The sequence below is a fragment of the Homo sapiens genome, chromosome 10 (assembly GCF_000001405.40).
Source record: "Homo sapiens chromosome 10, GRCh38.p14 Primary Assembly".
Lineage (NCBI taxonomy): Eukaryota > Metazoa > Chordata > Mammalia > Primates > Hominidae > Homo > Homo sapiens.
In genome coordinates, this window is record NC_000010.11 from 96,711,464 (window position 1) to 96,731,831 (window position 20,368).

Genomic DNA, 20,368 nt, shown 5'->3' on the forward strand with positions numbered 1-20,368 from the left:
CAGAGAAGGAAGCTGGTCACATTTTATGAAGGTTGGGAACCACCTAAGTTGTAGACTAAAACAATTAAACGCTAGGCCTGGGCCGCATTTCATTGATGCTTCCTGTTGAAAAGGACAGAGGCAGGACTTAGGCAAGACCTAGAGGCTCTGAAAAGATCATAGGATGAATCCTCTTGCCTGCCCCCATCCAATCCACCACTATATTCAAACCAAAAAGCAACATGTACAATGCAAGCCCAACATAGTTCTGATTTCCCCCAGGATGAGATTACCAAATTTTTTTTTTTTTTTTTTTTTTTTTTTTTTAGACGGAGTCTCGCTCTGTCGCCCAGGCTGGAGCGCAGTGGCACGATCTCGGTTCACTGCAAGCTCCGCCTCCCGGGTTCACGCCATTCTCCTGTCTCAGCCTCCCAAGTAGCTGGGACTACAGGCGCCCGCCATCACGCCCGGCTAATTTTTTTTTTTTATTTTTAGTAGAGACGGGGTTTCACCGTGTTAGCCAGGATGGTCTCGATCTCCTGACCTCGTGATCCACCCACCTCAGCCTCCCAAAGTGCTGGAATTACAGGCGTGAGCCACCGCACCCGGCCATATTACCAAATTTTTAAAAATAGCAAATAAAACGAATGTTTGCAGTTTCATTCTGTTTTGAGTCCCCCTGGTTTTCTGGAGCCCTAATCCAGTGCTAATATAAAGCCCACAGTAGACTTCTTAGCAGGAGCAAGTTGATCCGCCTGAGAGTATTTTTGAAGGGAAGGTGTACAAATCTTTTAAAAAGGCAATCTTAGACAAACAGTATGGAACTGGCGAAAACCAGTCCGCAATTCTGACGATGCCCTGGACATTTGTGGTTCTACAGAGAACTCAATTCTGATCACGGTCTGTTCCCTCAATTGTGAACATAATGGTCCTTTTCAGGAATGCCTACCCTGATTCCAAAGCTTACACAGATTAAGGACAAAAAGTTAATGCACCAGTGCTGCAGCCTGCCATAAAAATAAATAAATAAATAAAAATCTTTGCTGCTTGGATTTTTTTTTTCTGTGTAGAATATTTCTTTATACCTCAATGGAAAAATCATTTCAAAACTATAGAAGGTATAACATTGGCAAAGCTACATAACTATGCAACTGACATTGAGAAGCAGAGTTAAATTATCAGAATATATTTACCTTCTTTCTGTCCTTCCTTCCTATGTGGCTGGTTTATCTTAAGAGGCAAACGTTCTTCTAAGTGTCAAGTGTTATTGCAGATGTGCGTGCATGGGCACGAGCCATCAGGTAGGACAGGTGCAAGACTTTACATTTCATTATAACATTAAGGATGCAATGTTAGTGATGCTGTGCAAGGAGCCTGGAGCATTTTGTAAAAATGCAAAAGTGAAAAAGGGTAGCCACCACCTTCCTCTGCATACATATGCGTATCATGTCAACAATTTGTGCAATAAGCAGAAGGAGAATAAAATCTCAGGAAGGGATGGTTGTGGTCCCATATACTAGTGATGAAGAAACCATAAGTAGTGTTTTCAATAGGGTTGGCAAGTGATGGCAAAAAAGTGAAGAAGAGGGAAGAAGAAAATTTCCTAAGCATAAGAAGAACCCTTAAGAGGGCAGCTTGGGGCCAGGCCCAGTGGCTCATTACTAATCCCATCACTTTGGGAGGCCAGGGCGGGCGGATTGCTTGAGCTCAGGAGTTTCAGACCAGCTTGGGCAACATGGTGAAACCCCGTCTCTACAAACAATGCAAAAATTAGGCCAGGCGCGGTGGGTCACACCTGTAATCCCAGCACTTTGGTAGGCCGAGGCAGGCAGATCACGAGGTCAGGAGATCAAAACCATCCTGGCTAACACGGTGAAACCCCGTCTCTATTAAAAATACAAAAAAAAAAAAATTAGCCGGGTGTTGTGGCAGGCACCTGTAGTCCCAGCTACTCAGGAGGCTGAGGCAGGAGAATGGCATGGACCTGGGAGGCGGAGCTTGCAGTGAGCCGAGATTGCGCCACTGCACTCCAGCCTGGGAGACAGACCGAGACTCCGTCTTAAAAAAAAAAAAAAAAAAAAAAAAGCAAAAATTAGCCAGGCGTGGTGGTGTGCTCCTATAGTCCCAGCTACTCAGGAGACTGAGGTAGGAGGATTGCTTGAGACTGAGAGGCAGCTTGGGTTTTGGGGCACTGATTGACTTAGTAGAAAAGCAACAGCTTTACACTGTTCTAAAGACCACATGGCCATGAGTGATTACTCCAATTTTATAAGAAGAATTTAGTGATCCAAAAGTAAGTGAACATTTTTAAAATTATAAACTCTAGGGCCACTGAGGGAATGGGTACTCATTTCCCCCTGGATCCTGCCTCACCAGCTAACAGCAGATCCTGCTCCTCTGTGAACAGCACATCATAATACTTGCTGTTCATTACAGACTCCAAGTCAAGGGCTGGCTGCGGTGGCTCAAGCCTGTAATCCCAGCACTTTGGGAGGCCGAGGCAGGCGGATCACCTAAGGTCAGGAGTTCGAGACCAGCCTGACCAATATGATGAAACCCTGTCTCTACTAAAAATACAAAAATTAGCCGGGCATGGTGGCATGCGTCTGTAATTCCAGCTATTCGGGAGGCTGAGACAGAAGAATCACTTGAACCCGGGAGGCGGAGGTTGCAGTGAGCTGAGATCGTGCCATTGCACTCCAGCCTGGGTAATAACAGCGAAACTCCGTCTCAAAAAAAAAAAAGACTCCAAGTCATCAAGGAAAGTTTAAATCGTGATTCAGCTCTGTTTCCTGAGCACTGATCATGTGTTAGTCACTCTGCTAAGCATCTCATGTACATTCTCTCATTTAATCCTCAGAACAATCCACAAAGTATATGTTATCAAAAAGCCCCATTTTACAGACACAGACATTAAAACTCGTTGAAGATTTACTGCTGCTGCTGCCCAAGTGCACATTGTTAGTCAGTGCCAGAGCAGGGATCTGACTCCAAAGTCCATGCTCTTAATCTCTAAGTTGCACCCAATTTAAAAAGTCAAGGAAATACAGAATATAGTTTAGAAAATACAGTTAATAAAATACATCTAGTGCCATGGGTTTCTCATACCATTCTCCAATAAAAGGATCCAGGATTCCTTAGTGAAATGATGGATTCTAGGAATGAGTCTAGGATTAAATACTTCCTGGGGCAGGAAATATTCAATATGAGCCTGGAGCATCTTGTAGTGCCAGAAAGTAATGCTCAAACAAAAATTCAATGACAGGCATATGTCAAAGGAACACGAGTCAACTCAAAGCGCCCAGTGGCAAAAGCTGGAACCATTTGAGCAACAAAATAAATAAAATAATATTGAATTATAACCCAAAGCATAAAAGAAATATACAGGAGTCCATACTGATACAAAATAAATAATTGAATAAATACACTGGGGAAAAAAGACAAATCTCCCATGCATAACAATTCTGAATAATTTATGTAGATAGATAACTCCACCCTCAAGGAGGTAGAGTGTAACTCCTTATACAGAGAACTTAGTGTTTGGCTGTGTCAAGTGAGTTCTTTCCAAAGAGCACAGTGTGGAAAGGGAGAAAAAAAAAAGAGTAAATTTACAATAGAGAAACCCAGTGATCAAGGTCAGCATTGACAGTCACAAATCATGTTGAGAGTGTGTGCCCTGAATACCATGGGCCGAGACTGGCACTTTACCTCTGTGGTCTTCCTCCCTGAAACCCAGCACCCTGGTCTAATTATGGGAAAAAATATCATACAAATCCCGACTGAGGGCTATTCTACAAAATAACTGACCAGTACTCCTCAAGACTGTCAAAGCCATCAAAAACAAGGAAAATCAGAGAAAATCACAGCCTTGAAGGGCCTAGGGAGACATGACTACCAAATATAACGTAGTACCTGAGATGGGCTCCTGGAACAGAAGAAGGACATTACATAAAAACTAAGGAAATCTGAGGAAAGCCTGAACTTTTAGTTATTAATAATTTATCAGTATCAGTTAACTAATTGTCACAAAAACCACACTAATGTAAGATGTCAATAATAGGTGAAACTGGATGTGGTCTATATGAGAACTCTCTGTACTATCTTTGTAGTATTTCTGGAAATCTAAAATTGTTCTAAAATAAAATTTTATTTAAAAGTATCATTGAGGCTGGGCGCGGTGGCTCATGCCTGTAATCCTAGCACTCTGGGAGGCCAAGGCGGGTGGATCACGAGGTCAGGAGATCGAGACCATCCTGGCTAACATGGTGAAAACCCGTCTCTACTAAAAATACAAAAAATTAGCCGGGAATTGTGGCGGGCACCTGTAGTCCCAGCTACTCAGGAGGCTGAGGCAGGAGAATGGCATGAACCCGGGAGGCGGAGCTTGCAGTGAGCTGAGATCATGCCACTGCACTCCAGCCTGGGCAACAGAGCGAGACTCCATTTCAAAGAAAAAAAAAAAAAAGTACAATTGAAATAAAGAGCACTTAAATCTCCTATATTTAAAAAACAAACAAATAAACAAACAGAACAGCTATTCAAAATGTCTCATTCCTGGCCAGGAACAGTGGCTCACATCTGTAATACCAGCACTTTGGGAGGCCAATGCAGGCGGATCACTTGACGCCAGGAGTTCGAGGCCAGCCTGGCCAACATAGTGAAACTCCAACTCTACAAAAAAATACAAAAATTAGCCAGGCGTGGTGGCATGCGCCTGTAGTCCCAGCTACTCAGGAGGCTGAGCCATGAGAATTGTTTGAACCTGGGAGGCAGAGGTTGCAGTGAGCCCAGGTCGTACCACTGCCCTCCAGCCTGGATGACAGAGTGAGACCCTGTCTCATTAAATAAATAAATAAATAAATAAATAAATGCACAATGTCTCACTCCTGGGGTTCTAGTGTTAAATTCAATTCCCTTTGAGTGAAAGTATTTGAGGAGAAATTAATTACTGCCTCAGACTAGTTAACATTACAACCTATTTGGTCACTAACCTGTGGTGTGACTTAGACCAATTACTAAGTCTAGGCAAATTTGCCTTGATGTAAATGAGGACAATGAAATCTATCACCTTCCCGAATATTGCTGTGCTGGGAAACTGAAAGAAGGGGAAGTTTTTAAAAAGTCCAAAGTGAAAGTTCCAGTCCCTTTCTGATGTGCTGGGTAACAATATAGGACTAAATGCTTTGTCAGCAACTCTGCCTTATATGGGGGAAACTCCTTTCTTCAGCAATAATCCTCTTCCTTTAACCATAAGTAGCTTTTCCACTTATCCTCAATCACATCTCTCTTTTTTTTTGCTTGTTCATTTATTAAGAGAAATGAAACACATGAGCTAACAAGGAGTCTACAAGCCCTAGAAAGAAATGAGGAAGGGTCTTTCTTTGTCCTCGTAAAACGTCAAGAACAGGTTTGGCTACAGAAGGAGAAAGAAATGGATCACAGCAGAGGAAGGGGAGGCTGTAGCAGCAGGGAGTCCATGGGGTGAAAAGCTGGGGCTGAAAGAGAGGTGCCTTTGCAGGATTCAGAGCCCAATGGAGGGCCGAGCGTGGTGGCTCACACCTGTAATCCCAGCACTTTGGGAGGCTAAGGAGGGCAGATCACTTGAGGCCAGGAGTTCAAGACCAGCCTGGCATGGTGAAACCCTGTCTCTACTAAAAATACAAAAATTAGCTGAGTATGGTGGTGGGCACCTGTAATCCCAGCTACTCGGGAGGCTGAGGCACGAGAATCACTTCAACCTGGGAGGCAGAGTTTGCAGTGAGCCAAGATCGTGTCACTGCACTCCAGCCTGGGTGACAGAGTGAGACTCCGTCTCAAAAAAAAAAAAAAAAAAACTCACTGGAGAGAAGTACAGACAGGAAGTGCCAGAAAGCTTCTCAAACCACCCAGCCCAGACCATTTCTTCAGCCTATAGGTGACTCTGGCACCCCATTCATCCATCCTGGAGCCCCATGTTTGAATCTGAACACCATATTTGAAGAGGGATGAGAGATAGGGAAGGTGACCAGGATAAGGAGAGATGTGGTCAATCATATCAGGAGCTTCCCACCCCAGAAGTTGTTCAAATTTAGGTACTGGCAAGAGTATTGAGAGGCCTCAAGGATCACATGGAAGTTAAGGTCACAAAAAGGTTAAAAGTCCCTTCAAGCTCCATGGTCCTGTAAGTCCAGGAATAGTAGAAGGATCTAAAGAGAAGAGCCTTGGAGAGAGGGGGCAAGAGACGGTATGAGAGCTGATACACAGAGGAGAGAGTACTAGTCTTTCTTCACCCAGCCACAGACTTGGCCACTTGGGAAAGTCACTCACGGATCCTCTCTTTCCTCTCTCTCACGTGTAAATACACAAGATGCCATCAGGGGCCTAGAGAATTTTGTGGAATAGGCCAAGTCCATTTCATTTTATCTTCCTACCCAAGGTCCTTTCAAAGACAGGGAGCCTAACTTCTCCTGGATTTCAACAAGCAGACATCTTTCAGAAAACAATATAGACTAATGCTTCCCCTTCAGTGGAAGGGAATTTAAGAATTAGGCCATAAAAAGGAACGAAGTACTGATATAAGCTACAGTGGGATGAACTTTGAAAATATTATGCTGTACAAAGGAAGCCAGTCACCAAAGACCACATACTATGTGATTCCATTCATATACAAGCCCAGAGTAGAGAAATCTATAGAGGCAAAGTAGATCTTAGGGCTGGGAGAGGAGAGGAGAATAAAAGGTTGATACCTAAAGCATACAAGGTTTCTTTCTGAGGTGATGAAAATGTCCCAAAATTGACTGTGGTGATGGCTACACATATCTGTAAAGATACTAAAAACCACTGAATTGTATGCTTTAAATGGATGAATTGTATGGCATGTGAATTATATCACAATAAAGCTGCTTTTAAAAGAAAAGAAGAACATACAGAAGGGTGGCTGGATGACTCCAAAGCCCACAGCACCTTGGCGAGCGGCATTGCTCTCACCACTGTGATCTTCCCCCATGGGTCCTTGTACTTCCAAACCTCAGGGAACCCGAGGGACTCCAGAGACCCAACTCTCAATTACAGCACCTGGAGTGGTGTCTCGCCACAGAAGACGCAGACAGCAAGACAGTTTGACAGCTCTAACCATTACAAACACCTGCAGAAGCTGCTACAGAGCCCATAAATAGCCCCAGGTTTGCCCACCGGACTAGGGTCCCCCTCTGAACTGGAGCTCGCCTTCCTAGCTCCTTCGGCTGTGTCCACTGGAGAGAGGTACACAGGACGCTGGAAAAGAGGAAAAGAGAGGCCATTTTCTCAGACTCTTCCACCCAAAGGCCCTCCCAGTTTGCGGTTTCCTGGACTCAGCAGCCCAGGGCCTGTTCCTGACCATGGAAGGAGGAGGCGGCTTCACTGGTTTATTATCTGGCCTCATCTCCCTCTCCCCCACAGCCCACCTACTCCAGCCACTCTGGCCTACTCCCTTTCCTTTAACGCACCACATACACTCATTGCTTGGAGCACTCTTCCCCAAAGAGCCTCCTCCCCCTGGAAATCTTGGCTCAAATGTGCCTTTCTCCACCCTGGCCACCTCATTTGAAAATCCTAACCCCAGTCTCCCTCACCCTTCTTTATCGTTTTCCCATAACACATGTCATACCAGAGATTTTCCTTATTAAGTGTATATTACCTGCTATTACTAGGCCTCCTTATTCACAACACAGCTTCTTTTAGCCTCCAGAGCCCAGCTGGAGAGCCAGGAGGCTGTGATTAACTACCTTCCCATCCCCTTTAATGAGCCTGTAGTACATGGAACAATCACTCCTGGCCTTTTCTACCTCTGCTTCCGAAGCACCCTTACCAGACCCTCAGAGGATCTGGGGAGAGCTGGCTCTTCATTCCAGTGTTTGCTCACCTCCTGTAAGAACAGTGCCTTCTCCTGGCCACCTAGATTTTCTTTTTCAAGGGGCACCTGCAACCTGTTTTCACAGGTTATCCCTACTAAAACATCATAAAGTGGGCTGGGAAAATACAAGTAAACCCATTTGTAAACACTGTAACTCTACCTCCTCTCATCTAGTAATTCCTTGTTTACTTATTGCTTTCCTCTACAGGACCATAAACTCCTGGAGAGCAGAGACTAGGTGTTTCCTGCCCACCATGGAGAACATATTAGGTGCACAGTATCCATTGGAGTGCAATAGTAAGGACTCATTAATTGTCTCCGTTATCATCATTATGTGGCTTGTCCTGGATCTCCGTCAGTGAGCGACTTGCCAAGTGTGTACACCCATGAACCAGAAGGCAACCCAAGACCAGCCAGAAAAGACGCTTGGCACCCTTTGATGAGTACATTTACCCAGTGACCGCCAACTCTCCCCATTCCCCAAAGTTCTGCAAAGGACGCAGGAAAAGTAAAGTTCAAGGAATAGTGTTCCTAGATCCCTAGCAAAGTTCTAGACCCAAAACACAAAGCCTGGGAGGGGTGGAGGAACGGGGCTTGGGGAACTGTCCCAAGGGCCTCCCCGGCTGATCTCTCCGCACCACCTAGGACTGCCTGAGCGCCCCCTGTGGGTCCACGGAGCCCAGGAGACGCGTTTGGCCCTGTAGACCATCCACATCGCCCGCCCTCCGCTTCTCTCAACTCGCCTCTCGCTTCAGAGTCGGAGGGACAGGGGAAGCGACGCTCAGACACTCCTAGGGCCAGAGGTGGAGGGAGCGAAGGAGACCCTGAAGAAGTGGGAGGGGGTCGGGCCAGGCAGGGGCTGAAGAGAATCGCGCCACAGGCTGGGACGGGAAACGTGGGAAAGTTGGAGTGGGAAGTTTGCGACAGGGAACATAGAAAAGAGCAGAAAGAGGGCAAGATCCCCGCACAGAGGACGCAAACAGAAGCAAGCGGGGGAGCGCGCCTCAAGGGATGCGGGGTACGAGAGAGGGGCCGGGAGCCCGGGGACCCGCGGCGCCTGCCTACCCACCTGAGGCTGCCATGCCGCGGGGCGCCGCTCACATCCCTGGCTCGCTGCGTGCCCGGGGCCGGGACCGGGGCCGGCGGCGTCCTGGCTCGGGCTGGAGGGGCGCCGGGCTCCGCGCGGGACCGGCCGCCGCTCTGGCGCTTCCTCCCTCAGGGCAGCCCGGCCTCGCCACGAGGGCGTGTCCACAGAGTCCGCCCCGCCTGCGGGACTCGGCCCGCGGCACCTGCACCCGCGGCCGTTGGGGAGGGGAAGTGAGAACCCCATGCCGGCCGCCGGCCAGCTCCCCCCACGGCCCCCTGCTCAGGGGCAGCGAGAAGGCGGGGGCTTCGCGCCACGTGCGCCCCACTCCTCGGGAAACCAGCCCTGATCTGCCACCAAAGGGCAGCCCGAGGTGGAGGGGGTGTGGGGAGGAGGCGGAGGGGGAGAGTGTGGGGCTGCCAGGCCTCTGGGAGACAGGGCGGGGGTGTGTGTGTGTGTGAGCACCAGCTGTCCAAGCCACCTCCTCATCGCCTGGGGCTTTGTCCCTAAGCCCCTGCTGCCCCAGCAGGAAAGGGGAGGGGACAGGAAGGGGAAGAGGAGGAGGGCTGGGCACCTGGCCCTGGGTGCTCGGCGTTGCCCTTGAGTGCCCTCCTGTGATCTTTCTGCCGTTCCTTGGATCTGGTCTCCTGATGGCACATGAACATTAATTATAATGTCACATGATAAATGTCTAATAGAGTTTCTCTGCCATTCATTTCCTGTGTTCCTGTCTGCTGGGCGCTGCGTTTAGCACCTTACACACATTATCGCATTGCATCCTCACAGCAACCTTCTGAGGTAGCACCTATCACTGTCTTTACATTGGAGCCAAAGAAACAAGCCAAATACCTTGCTCAGGCTTCCACAGAGAACAAAAGCTCCCGGAGGTTCAGTACCAAGCCAGTCTGCTTCCAGAGCTAGAACTCTTGCTTAACCCTTGCCTTCACCTGCCCTCTTCTTGGACTCCTCCCTTTGCCTGCTGCCGAAATTCAACTGAATAGCACATCCCCTTGGAGTTCTCAACAATCCAGGGGCCAGAAGATGGACCCAGAGAGCAGAGATGAGGCAAGGTTAGGGCTGAAGTCCAGGTGGAAATAAAATGAAATGGATTTAAGAACGGGAATATCAGGATGAGGCCGTGCATTCATTTTCTTCTGTTGCCATAATAAATTACTACAAATTTAGTGGCTTAAAACAACACCAACTTATCATTTTACAGTTCTGTAGCTCAGAAGTGTGACATGAGTCTCCATCGGCTAAAATCAAGGTGGTGGCTGGGCTGGGTTTCTTTCTGCCAAATAGAAGGGAATCAATTTCCTTGGCTCTTTCAGCTTCTAGAAGCCATCCACATTCCTTGGCTCATGGCCTCCTTGTTCTATCTTCAAAGCCAGATGGCCCTGCTTCTGTCATCATATCCCTTTCTCTGACTCTCTTCTGTCTCCCTCTTCCAGTTTTAAGGATCCTAGTGGCCGGGCGCGGTGGCTCACGCCTGTAATCCCAGCACTTTGGGAGGCCGAGGCGGGCGGATCACGAGGTCAGGAGATCGAGACCATCCCAGCTAAAACGGTGAAACCCCGTCGCTACTAAAAATACAAAAAATTAGCCGGGCGTAGTGGCGGGCGCCTGTAGTCCCAGCTACTTGGGAGGCTGAGGCAGGAGAATGGCGTGAACCCGGGAGGCGGAGCTTGCAGTGAGCCGAGATCCCGCCACTGCACTCCAGCCTGGGCGACAGAGCAAGACTCCGTCTCAAAAAAAAAAAAAAAAAAAAAAAAAAAAGGATCCTAGTGATTGCATTCGGCCCTCCTAGATAAGCCAGGAAAATCTCCCTATTTGGAGAACCTTGCCTGAACACTGGTCTTCCTGACTCCACCCTCTTCCTTCTCTCCCCAAAGCCTCTCTCGCTCTTCACAAGTCTCTGGGCCTGGCCAGTTTGTGTTCTTTGTCATAGACATTTCTACTGAGCATGCATCTGTCTATTCAAGGTCAACTCCCCTAACATTCCCACTGTTCAAACGCATGTTCCTCCCTTCCAGCTCCGGATGTTAGGGAGAGAAGGCTCTTTCCTTCCTCCTAACCAAGTGCATCTGGACAACTTTTAACCTAAAGGATATTTCTAACTTGTTAAACCATTAGAAGGCACCTGCCACTTGCAGGTAAGGTTTTGGGTGCTAGGTCAGCTATCCAAACTCTGCTCCCACTCCTGGCTAGCAGTGACCACTGGAATTAGAGCGAGAAAAGGACTCAGAGGCAACAGTCCCTTGGTGAGAGGACATGACTAGTCCCTGACTCTGGCAATTTCATTCAACAAATTTCTTTGTATAACAGGTGGAGCCAGACTGGGGAAAGTAGTGTCTGTTTGGTTTTGCACCTCCGTGTGGCGGGTTTTGCAGAATGGGAGTGGCGGGGATAGGGAGGAGAGCAGCTGCCCCTCTGGAAGACCCTGCTCCACTCCGTGCACTGGCTCTCTCCAGGTTCTGCAGTCGGTCCCTGCAACACTGGGTGGTAGGTGAATTGGCTCGAGGAAGAATGGAGAACCCGAACTTGGCTGCTGCCCTACAGTTCTGTTTGGCCTGGCAAAAGGGAGAGGCTGGAGAGGTAAACATGTGTCATCCTAAGGAATGGGGGCCTGAGGACAGGGCAGCAGAAATCCCTGCTTTTTACATCTTCAAAGTGTTATTTCATAGCCTGTCGGACCTGGGGATCAGAGCCTTTTCCCTGGTTAGCAAAACCTCCCTTACTAGGACAAAATGTGAAGGTGGAGCAGTGTGTCACCATGGATGCTCATGATCCATCCAAAGTGGAGTACCTTCATAGAGGTACTTTCATGGAGTACCTTCCTATGAGGAAGGTACTAAGAGTATACACATTTTACAGATAAGAAGTTAAATAGGCTGGGTGCGGTGGCTCACGCTTGTAATCCCAGCACTTTGGGAGGCCGAGACAAGTGGATCACAAGGTCAGGAGTTCAATACCAGCCTGGCCAATATGGTGAAACCCCCGTCTGTACCAAAAATACAAAAATTAGCTGGACATGGTGGCGCGCACCTGTAGTCCCAGCTCCTCAGGAGGCTGAGGCAGGAGAATAGCTTGAACCCAGGAGGCAGAGTTTGCAGTGAGCCGAGATTGTGCCACTGCACTGCACTGCAGCCTGGGCAACAGAGCAAGACTTTGTCTAAAAATATATATATATAAAAAAAATTAAATAGCTTTTGCCCAAGGGCACATAGCTAGTAATTTGCAGTGCTGAGTTTTGAACCCAGACAGTCTGGCTTCAGAGCCCATGCTTCTGCCCACTAGATTAGGTGGTAAATGCTTGAAGCAGGCCCTGCTATGACCTAAGGGCCCCACAAGTCACCACTAGCCTTTGTTGGCATCACCTCACATTGCAGGTAGACAGTAGCTCTTTGTCACCTGTGAGTTCCCCTGCTCTGCCAGAATTGCCTTAGTCTCACAAAGGACAAACATCCAGAGCCCCACTTTGGAGCGCCCCCAGCATCCCCTACCTCCCTGCCCACCTCCCTGTCAGTGTCCTATGAGACCATCAGTGTCTCATACTCATGGGACCTAACTGCTATATCTCTTTCACCACTGCATCTCTGATGCCCAGCACACAGTGGGTACGTAACTGCTTTGTTTTTAAATTATCAAGTCCAACCTGCTTGTTTTACCGATGAAGATACCGACATACAGGTTGAATGAGCTGTCTAAGCTCCCACAGCTTTCATTCAAAGCACTTGCTCTTCATTTTGTTCAGCAGAGCAAGAGGACTCAGGCGTGTTCATATGGATAGGGTGGAGTGTGCGAAGATTGGACTATATAGGACTGGCAGGTGGCAGGTAAGACATCACAGGTGGGGACAGGGATAAGGAGTTCGAGAGCACCAGTGCCTGTTTTTGCCTTGTGAACTCCCTGGCTTTTATAAAGACTGCTGCCCTTCCTATCTGCCTGAGGCAATTTCAACCCAGTTCCAACCCAGTAGGACATAATATCAAAACTTGATGCAGGCAATTTGGGGACATTTGTGGCTTTCAGGAACAAGTATCTTTGCAGATGAAACCTAGAAGCCTACCCCTCCTTCCCTACTCACCGAAATGGCCACTCCCCATGAAGGCCATGCCACCACCTGTGGGCCCCTGCTCGGGCCATTTTGAGTGGTGGCAGTGCCCATTTCCAGGCCCTGGACCTCAAATTCAGAGAAACAAAATGTTGGGTATCTGCTATGTGGCTCTGATAAGATAATTCACCTGACTCATGGTCACTGGGTTAGTAAGTATCAAAGCTAGATTTTGAATTCAAATCTATTTATTATGCCAGAATTGCCTCCCTTGTCATGTGTGGTGATTTAGAAGCCATGACAGCTGTCTCATGGCCGTTGTTCTTAAGGGCAGCTGAGGACGACATCTTAGAGCAGTTGTGCCACCTTGCTGATTCATATTGAGCACGTGGTCACCTCAGAACGCCAGCTCTTTTTCATGTAACTTGTAGAAGCCACACCTTTCCCTTTGCCACATCACAGTTGTACAGTTGTGTTTGCTTTGTTGGTGGGTGCTTGGGACCCAACTGCAATAATTTAATGCTTAATTAAACATATGGGCCGGGAGCAGTGGCTCACGCCTGTAATCCCAGCACTTTGGGAGGCCGAGGTGGATGGATCACCTGAGGTCAAGAGGTCAAGACCAGCCTGGCCAACATGGTGAAACCCTGTCTCTACTAAAAATACAAAAAGTAGCCGCGCGCAGTGTCGGTCACCTGTAATCCCAGCTACTCGGGAGTCTGAAGCACAAGAATCGCTTGAACCCGGGAGGCGGAGGTTGCAGTGAGCCAAGATCACGCCACTGCACTCCAGCCTGAGTGACAGAGCGGGACTCCATCTCAAAAAAAAAGAAAGAAAAAGAAAGGAAAAACAACAACAACAACAAACATTATATGTTGGATTCGGTCCAGTGTTCCAGCCTGTCAAGATTGTTTCAACTCAGGATTCCATCACTGATGGCAGAATTTAACAACTGGTCTACCAAAACTAACCTTAGCAACAAGGAAAAGGGATGTCACTGAGATTGCTCATCGCCCACCTAATATTCATTCTCCCCTGGTTTCTTAGGAACAGAATTCCAATTTTATTTGGGGACCACAATGTGCTCCACTAAAAGACTCCATTCCTCAGCCTCTCTTGCAACGTAAGAGGAGGCTGATAAGGTATAAATGGAAGGGGTGTCCCCGAAAATTCTTTATAAGAGGAGGCTGATAAGGTGTAAATGTAAGGGGTGGCCCTGAAAATTCTTTATAAGAGGAGACTGATAAGGTGTAAATGGCTGGGGTGTCCCCGAAAATTCTTTATAAGAGACTTAACTCTGCTGACAGACACCCTTTTTGCTTGTCTCTTTTTCTTTTACTTCCTGCCTGTAATGTGAATGGGATGGCTGGAGATCCAACAGCCCTCTTAGATCATGAGGTGACCATGTAGATGGAACCCATACACTAAAGATGGTAGAGCAGAAAGCTGGGGAGCCTGATTCCCTGATGACCGTGGAGCTCCCAAACAAGCTCCAGGTTTCACATCTCTGACAACATTTACAGGAGAGGAAAAATAAATACATCTCTGCCTTGATCAAGCCATGATATTTTGGGTATTCTGCTATGTGTAGCCAAACCTCATTCTTCACTGATAAGGGAATGGAAGCTAGCATTTATTGAGCACTGACTATGACCCACGAACTCTCTTATGCTATCTCAGTTAATTCTCACAATAATAACTTCAAAGATGAAGAAACTGAGAGTAAGTGAGATTAGATAATGTTTCCTGGGTCATTCAGCTGGCAGCAGACCTGGAGTTCAAACCCAGATCAGAGCCAGGAGTGGTGGTTCATGCCTGTAATCCCAGCACTTTGGGAGGCTGAGGTGGGCAGATCACCTGAGGTCAGGAGTTCAAGACCAGCCTGGCCAACATGGAGAAACCCCGTATCTACTAAAAATACAAAAATTAGCTGGGCGCAATGGCGCATGCCTGTAATCCCAGCCACTTGGGAGGCTGAGGCAGGAGAATTGCTTGAACCCGTGAGGAGGAGGTAGCAGTGAGCCAAAATCGCTCGGCCACCGCACTCCAACCTGGGTGACAGAACAAGACTCTGTCTCAAAAACAACACCACCACCAACAAACCCAGATCAGTCTGAGCCCAGAGTCCATGATCTTCCGACAGTACAATGACATACTGAATGGCTTCCAGACAGTTGATTTGAAAGTATTCCCTGAGGGCCGGGCACGGTGGTTCACACCTGTAATCCCAGCACTTTGGGAGGCCGAGGCGGGCGGATCACGAGGTCAGATGGAGACCATCCTGGCTAACACGGTGAAACCCTGTCTCTACTAAAAATACAAAAAATTAGCCGGGCATGGTGGCGGGTGCCTGTAGTCCCAGCTATTCGGGAGGCTGAGGCAGTAGAATGGCGTGAATCTGGGAGGCGGAGCTTGCAGTGGGCAAAGATCGCGCCACTGCACTCCAGCCTGGGTGACAGAGCGAGATTCCGTCTCAAAAAAAAAAAAAGAAAGAAAGAAAGAAAAGAAAGTACTCCCTGAGGACATGTGGTGCTCTCAAGTCAGGGCCACCGTGAATCCTAGGCACTTCAAGTCCCGTGCAGATGGTGACTTCATTCATGCATGAATGCATATCTTGCACATTTCCTACTTCTGCCTTTTGAGGTGATGAAGCAGAAAGTCTAGGCAGCTGTGACAAAAAATTTTAGGACTTGGCTTCATAGACTCTAGAGTGTTAGAGGTGGAAATCACTCTAATAGGTCATTATTGGACACATGTGGAAACTAAGGCCAAGAGAGGCAAAGTGACCTTTCTAACACCACACTTTGAGTTGGAGGTTGAACCAGGACTAGAACCCTGGTCCCTATTCCTAATCTGGTGCCTTTTTGCTATATCCAACCACCTACTTTCTCCCTACCAGTACATTCAAAAAGTAACTGTAGAAATTATTTTCTTGATCTGACGCTTTAACTTTGTAGTTCTCTGTAAATCTACCACTAGCTCCTAGAGGGCTAATCAAACCTTGAACCTCCTTACATAAGCCTCGCTTGGTCATAATATATCATTTTTTTTTATATATTGCCAATTTACTAATATTGTTAAAAATTTTTGCAACTATGTTCATGGAAGATATCGGTCTGTAATTTTCTTCTTTGTAATGCCTTTTGTCAGTTTTTGGTATCAGGGTTAATCTAGCCTCATAAAAGGAGTGTGGAAGTGTTCCTTCTCTATTTTCTGGTAGACAAAGATAAGTGTTTCCTTAATGTTTGATAGAATTAGCCAATAAAATTCTCTAGGTTTAAATTTTTCTTTGTGAGATTTTGCTAGAAATTTCAATTTCCTCAATAGATATGAGGCTATTCAGATTTTATATTTCATCTGGTGCTAGTATTAGTAAGTTGTCTTTTTCAAGAAATTTGTCCATTTTATCTGTATTTTTAGATTTATTGACATAAAGTTATTTATAATGTTTTCTTATTATCTTCTTAATGCCTGCAAGATTTGTAATGATAGCTCCTCTTTCATTTCTTTTTTTTTAATTTTTAATTCTTACGAGTACACAGTAGGCATATATATTTATGGGGTATATGAAATATTTCCTCTTTCATTTCTGATACTGGGAATTAGTGTTTTCTCTCTCCTGTGTGTGTGTGTGTGTGTGTGTGTGTGTGTGTGTGTGTGTATCTCTGTCTGTATCAACTTGGATAGATGTTTATCAATTTTCTCGATCTTTCCAAACAACTAGTTTTTGGTTTTATTAATTTTTCTATTGTTTGTTTTCTACTTCATTGATTTCTGTTCTCGTCTTTGTTATTTCCTTCCTTTTACTTACTTTAGTAAGTTTAAGGTTCACTTTGCTCTTATATAGCAAAGGTTGAAACTTTGGCTACCGATTTTATTCCTTCCATCTTTTCTAATGTAAGAATTTAAAGTTATAAATTTCCCCAATTTAGTAGTTTTGCTGTATCTCCCAAATTTTGATATATTGCATTTTCACTGTAGCTTAGTTCAACATATTTTCATGTCCCCTGTGATTTCTTCTTGGAGCCATAGGTTATTTAAAAGTGAGTTAAGCTGAGCACAGTGGCCTGTAATCCCAGGACTTTGTGAGACCTTGTTTCTACCAAAAAAAAAAAAAATTAGCTTGGTGTGGTGGTGTGTGCCTGTAGTCCCAGCTACCTGAGAGGCTGAGGTGGGAGGATTGCTTGAGCCTAGGAAGTCGAGGCTCCAGTGAGCTGAGATTGTGCCACCATACTCTAGCACGGGTGACAGAGTGAGACCCTGTCTCAAAAATAAAGTAAAAAGTGAGTTAATATTCATATATTTAGGCTTTTAAAAATATATATTATTGTTATTGAGTTCTAATTTAATTATGGTCAGAAAGCAGACTGTATGAACCTTTTAAATTTATCGATTTTTTTATTCAAATCTTTGTTAAAAATATAAAAGTAAAAATAAGATTTAAAAACATCTATTGATACTTGTTTGATGGCCCAGCTTATGATCGATCTTGGTGAATGAGCGTTTGAAAAGAACGTGTATTCTGCAGTTACTGGGTACAGTGTCAATCAAATCAAGATGGCCTGGTAATACTGGATTGTACTTGACATTGTACGTGACACTTGTAGAGAATCTGGATTCCATTATGCCTCTGAAAAGTTTTATTTTTAAGCAAGTAGTTATTTTGGCTTGATTCAGACTGCAAACTCTGTCTTCTTTACTGTGGTGGGCAGCAGCAGAACTCGCTGCCCAGTTTTTTCAGCCTGTAATGGGCTGCTCAGAGCCTTCCCTACAGAAGTCGGCCAGAGGTTTGGGCAGAGTTCATGCACAGGGCCTGGAGCTCTCCTCTACTGCTCACTCCTTTCTGAGATAACACCCTCCTTTTGCAGCTGCTGTGTCCTTTGGTTCTCCAACGCAGTTACACAGTATAGGATCTATCTGAATTTTAGCCGCGGCCCAGGACATGGAATGGGGCCTGCCCTCTGACGAAAAGCTGGAAACTGAGAACCCCAGTGCTGTTCCTTTCTTCTAAGCATTGGCTCTTCTCCAGTGTTTGGCTACTTTTTTCTTGTTCTCCATTGCCTTTAGGTTCTTGTTTGTGTTTCTTTTGCCCAGTTAATAGTGCTGCCTCTGGTATGACTGGTCCAAGAAACAACTCGTGTATTGTTGGGAGCATCTTGAGCCCAAAAAAGAGGTGGACTCACTGAGCAATGCCTGAGGTGCCACTCTGTAAGGAATGCTAAAACATCATAGGAATAAATCAGATATATGGTGCCAATTAACTCAAGTTTTTTTTTTTTTTTTGAGACAAAGTCTTTCTCTGTCGCCCAGGCTGGAGTGCAATGGCGCAATCTCAGCTCAATGCAACCTCTGCCTCCTGAGTTCAAGGGAGTCTCATGCCTCAGCCACTTGAGTAGCTGGGATTACAGTCAAGCACCACCATGCCTGGCTAATTTTTGTATTTTTAGTAGAGACGGGGTTTCATCATGTTGTTCAGGCTGGTCTCGAACTCCTGAACTCAAGTGATCTGCCCATCTCAGCCTCCCAAAGTGCTGGGATTACAGAGGTGAGCCACTACCCTGGCCTAACTCAAGTTTCTATGTGTGACTCCATATCTAATACATGAGATGCAAATTGTTTCCTGATTAAGTAAACACAGTCCTCAAGTGGACACTTAAGAACAAAGAAAGTTGAAAGTTCCCATTAACCTGGACACACTTCTAGGTAAATACACATATATCTAACTCATTCTTTTTTTTTTTTTTTTTTTTTGAGACGGAGTCTTCCTCTGTCGCCCAGGCTGAGTGCAATGGCATGATCTCGGCTCACTCCAAGCTCCACCTCCCGGGTTCACACCATTCTCCTGCCTCAGCCTCCTGAGTAGCTGGGACTACAGGCACCCGCCACCACGCTCAGCTAATTTTTTGTATTTTTTAGTAGAGACGGGGTTTCACCGTGTTAGCCAGGATGGTCTCAATCTCCTGACCTCGTGATCCACCCACCTTGGCCTCCCAAAGTGCAGGGATTACAGGCATGAGCCACCGTGCCCGGCCTAACTCATTCTTTTTAAAAGTTGTGTAATACTCCATAGTATAGGTATACCATAATATATCAATTCCCTACTCAGGGAAGTTCAGTTATTTTCCTTCAGGTTAAGTACATCTTTTTGCCCCTACAAAAGCCATGTTACAGTAAATCTCCTTGAACATATTTCTTCATGTGCTGGTACTATTCTTTTTGTAGGATAGATTACAAAACTATTGCCAGAGGTATATGAACCAGAGCAACCCCATCTTGAATAGGGGCGGGGTAAAATAAGGCTGAGACCTACTGGGCTGCATTCCCAGACGGCTAAGGCATTCTTACTTACAGTATTAGAAAGGAGGTCAGCACAAGATACAGGTCATAAAGACCTTGCTGATAAAACAGGTTGCAGTAAAGAAGCCGGCCAAAACCCACCAAAACCAAGATGGCAACGAGAGTGACCTCCGGTCGTCCTCACTGCTACACTCCCACCAGCACCATGACAACTTACAAATGCCTTGGCAACCTCAGGAAGTTACTTACCCTAGATGGTCTAAAAAGGGGAGGCATGAGTAATCCACCCTTGTTTAGCATATCATCAAGAAATAACCATAAAAATGGGCAACCAGCAGCCCTCGGGGCTGCTCTGTCTATGGAGTAGCTATTTTTATTCCTATGCTTTCCTAATAAACTTGCTTTCAGTTTACTCTATGGACTTGCCCTGAATTCTTGCTTCGCGAGATCCAAGAACCCTCTCTGGGGGTCTGGATCGGGACTCCTTTCCTGTAACAGTATTGCTGGATCAACGGATATGTGCACTTCAAAATATATGTTATTATAATACTTCCCAGAGAGTCTGAAGAAGCTACTTGGGAGGCTGAGGCAGGAGAATGGCGTGAACCCAGGAGGCGGAGCTTGCAGTGAGCTGAGATCACGCCACTGCACTCCAGCCTGGGCGACAGAGCGACACTCCGTCTCACAAAAAAAAAAAAGAAAGAAATTATCATTCCACACCCATATCAATACTCTCACTAATCTTTTCTTATTTTTTGCTAATCTGATGGATTAAAAAAAGTTATGCTCATTATTATGCTAATTGGCATTTCCTTGAATACCAGTGGGATTAAGAATCTTTTCTTTTCTTTTGAGACGGAGTCTTGCTCTGTCACCTAGGTTGGAGTGCGGTGGCCCAATCTCGGCTCACTGCAAGCTCCACCTCCCGGGTTCAAGCCATTCTCCTGCCTCAGCCTCCCAAGTAGCTAGGACTACAGGCGCCCACCACCAAGCCTGGCTAATTTTTTTGTCTTTTTGTAGTATAGACGGGGTTTCACCGTGTTAGCCAGGATGGTCTTGATCTCCTGACCTCATGATCCTCCCG

At 46.3% G+C, this 20,368-nt stretch overlaps 1 protein-coding gene across 3 annotated transcripts in view, besides 5 other annotated features; it reads right to left on the reverse strand.

Moving 5' to 3' along the window:
- The window catches only part of PIK3AP1 (phosphoinositide-3-kinase adaptor protein 1), a 127,200-nt gene extending 118,149 nt beyond the window's left edge, over positions 1-9,051 (reverse strand). For 2 of the 3 annotated variants that reach the window (XM_011539248.2, NM_152309.3), the window contains exon 1: positions 8,919-9,051. In XM_011539248.2, coding sequence (XP_011537550.1) covers positions 8,919-8,931 — 13 coding nt within the window. In that variant the 5' untranslated portion in view covers positions 8,932-9,051. Of the gene's footprint in view, positions 1-7,149; positions 7,231-8,918 lie in introns of all 3 variants that reach the window. The other variant, XM_047424566.1, reaches the window with a different exon arrangement.
- Positions 8,573-8,682: an enhancer, noted in NCBI's record as "active region_3838". NCBI's record gives its function as "activates an Ori minimal core promoter by ATAC-STARR-seq in GM12878 lymphoblastoid cells {active_cell/tissue: GM12878}" and the evidence as "EXISTENCE:reporter gene assay evidence [ECO:0000049][PMID:35858748]".
- Positions 8,813-9,062: a silencer, noted in NCBI's record as "silent region_2658". NCBI's record gives its function as "represses an Ori minimal core promoter by ATAC-STARR-seq in GM12878 lymphoblastoid cells {active_cell/tissue: GM12878}" and the evidence as "EXISTENCE:reporter gene assay evidence [ECO:0000049][PMID:35858748]".
- Positions 9,113-9,412: a silencer, noted in NCBI's record as "silent region_2659". NCBI's record gives its function as "represses an Ori minimal core promoter by ATAC-STARR-seq in GM12878 lymphoblastoid cells {active_cell/tissue: GM12878}" and the evidence as "EXISTENCE:reporter gene assay evidence [ECO:0000049][PMID:35858748]".
- Positions 9,533-9,642: an enhancer, noted in NCBI's record as "active region_3839". NCBI's record gives its function as "activates an Ori minimal core promoter by ATAC-STARR-seq in GM12878 lymphoblastoid cells {active_cell/tissue: GM12878}" and the evidence as "EXISTENCE:reporter gene assay evidence [ECO:0000049][PMID:35858748]".
- Positions 15,457-15,736: an enhancer, noted in NCBI's record as "active region_3840". NCBI's record gives its function as "activates an Ori minimal core promoter by ATAC-STARR-seq in GM12878 lymphoblastoid cells {active_cell/tissue: GM12878}" and the evidence as "EXISTENCE:reporter gene assay evidence [ECO:0000049][PMID:35858748]".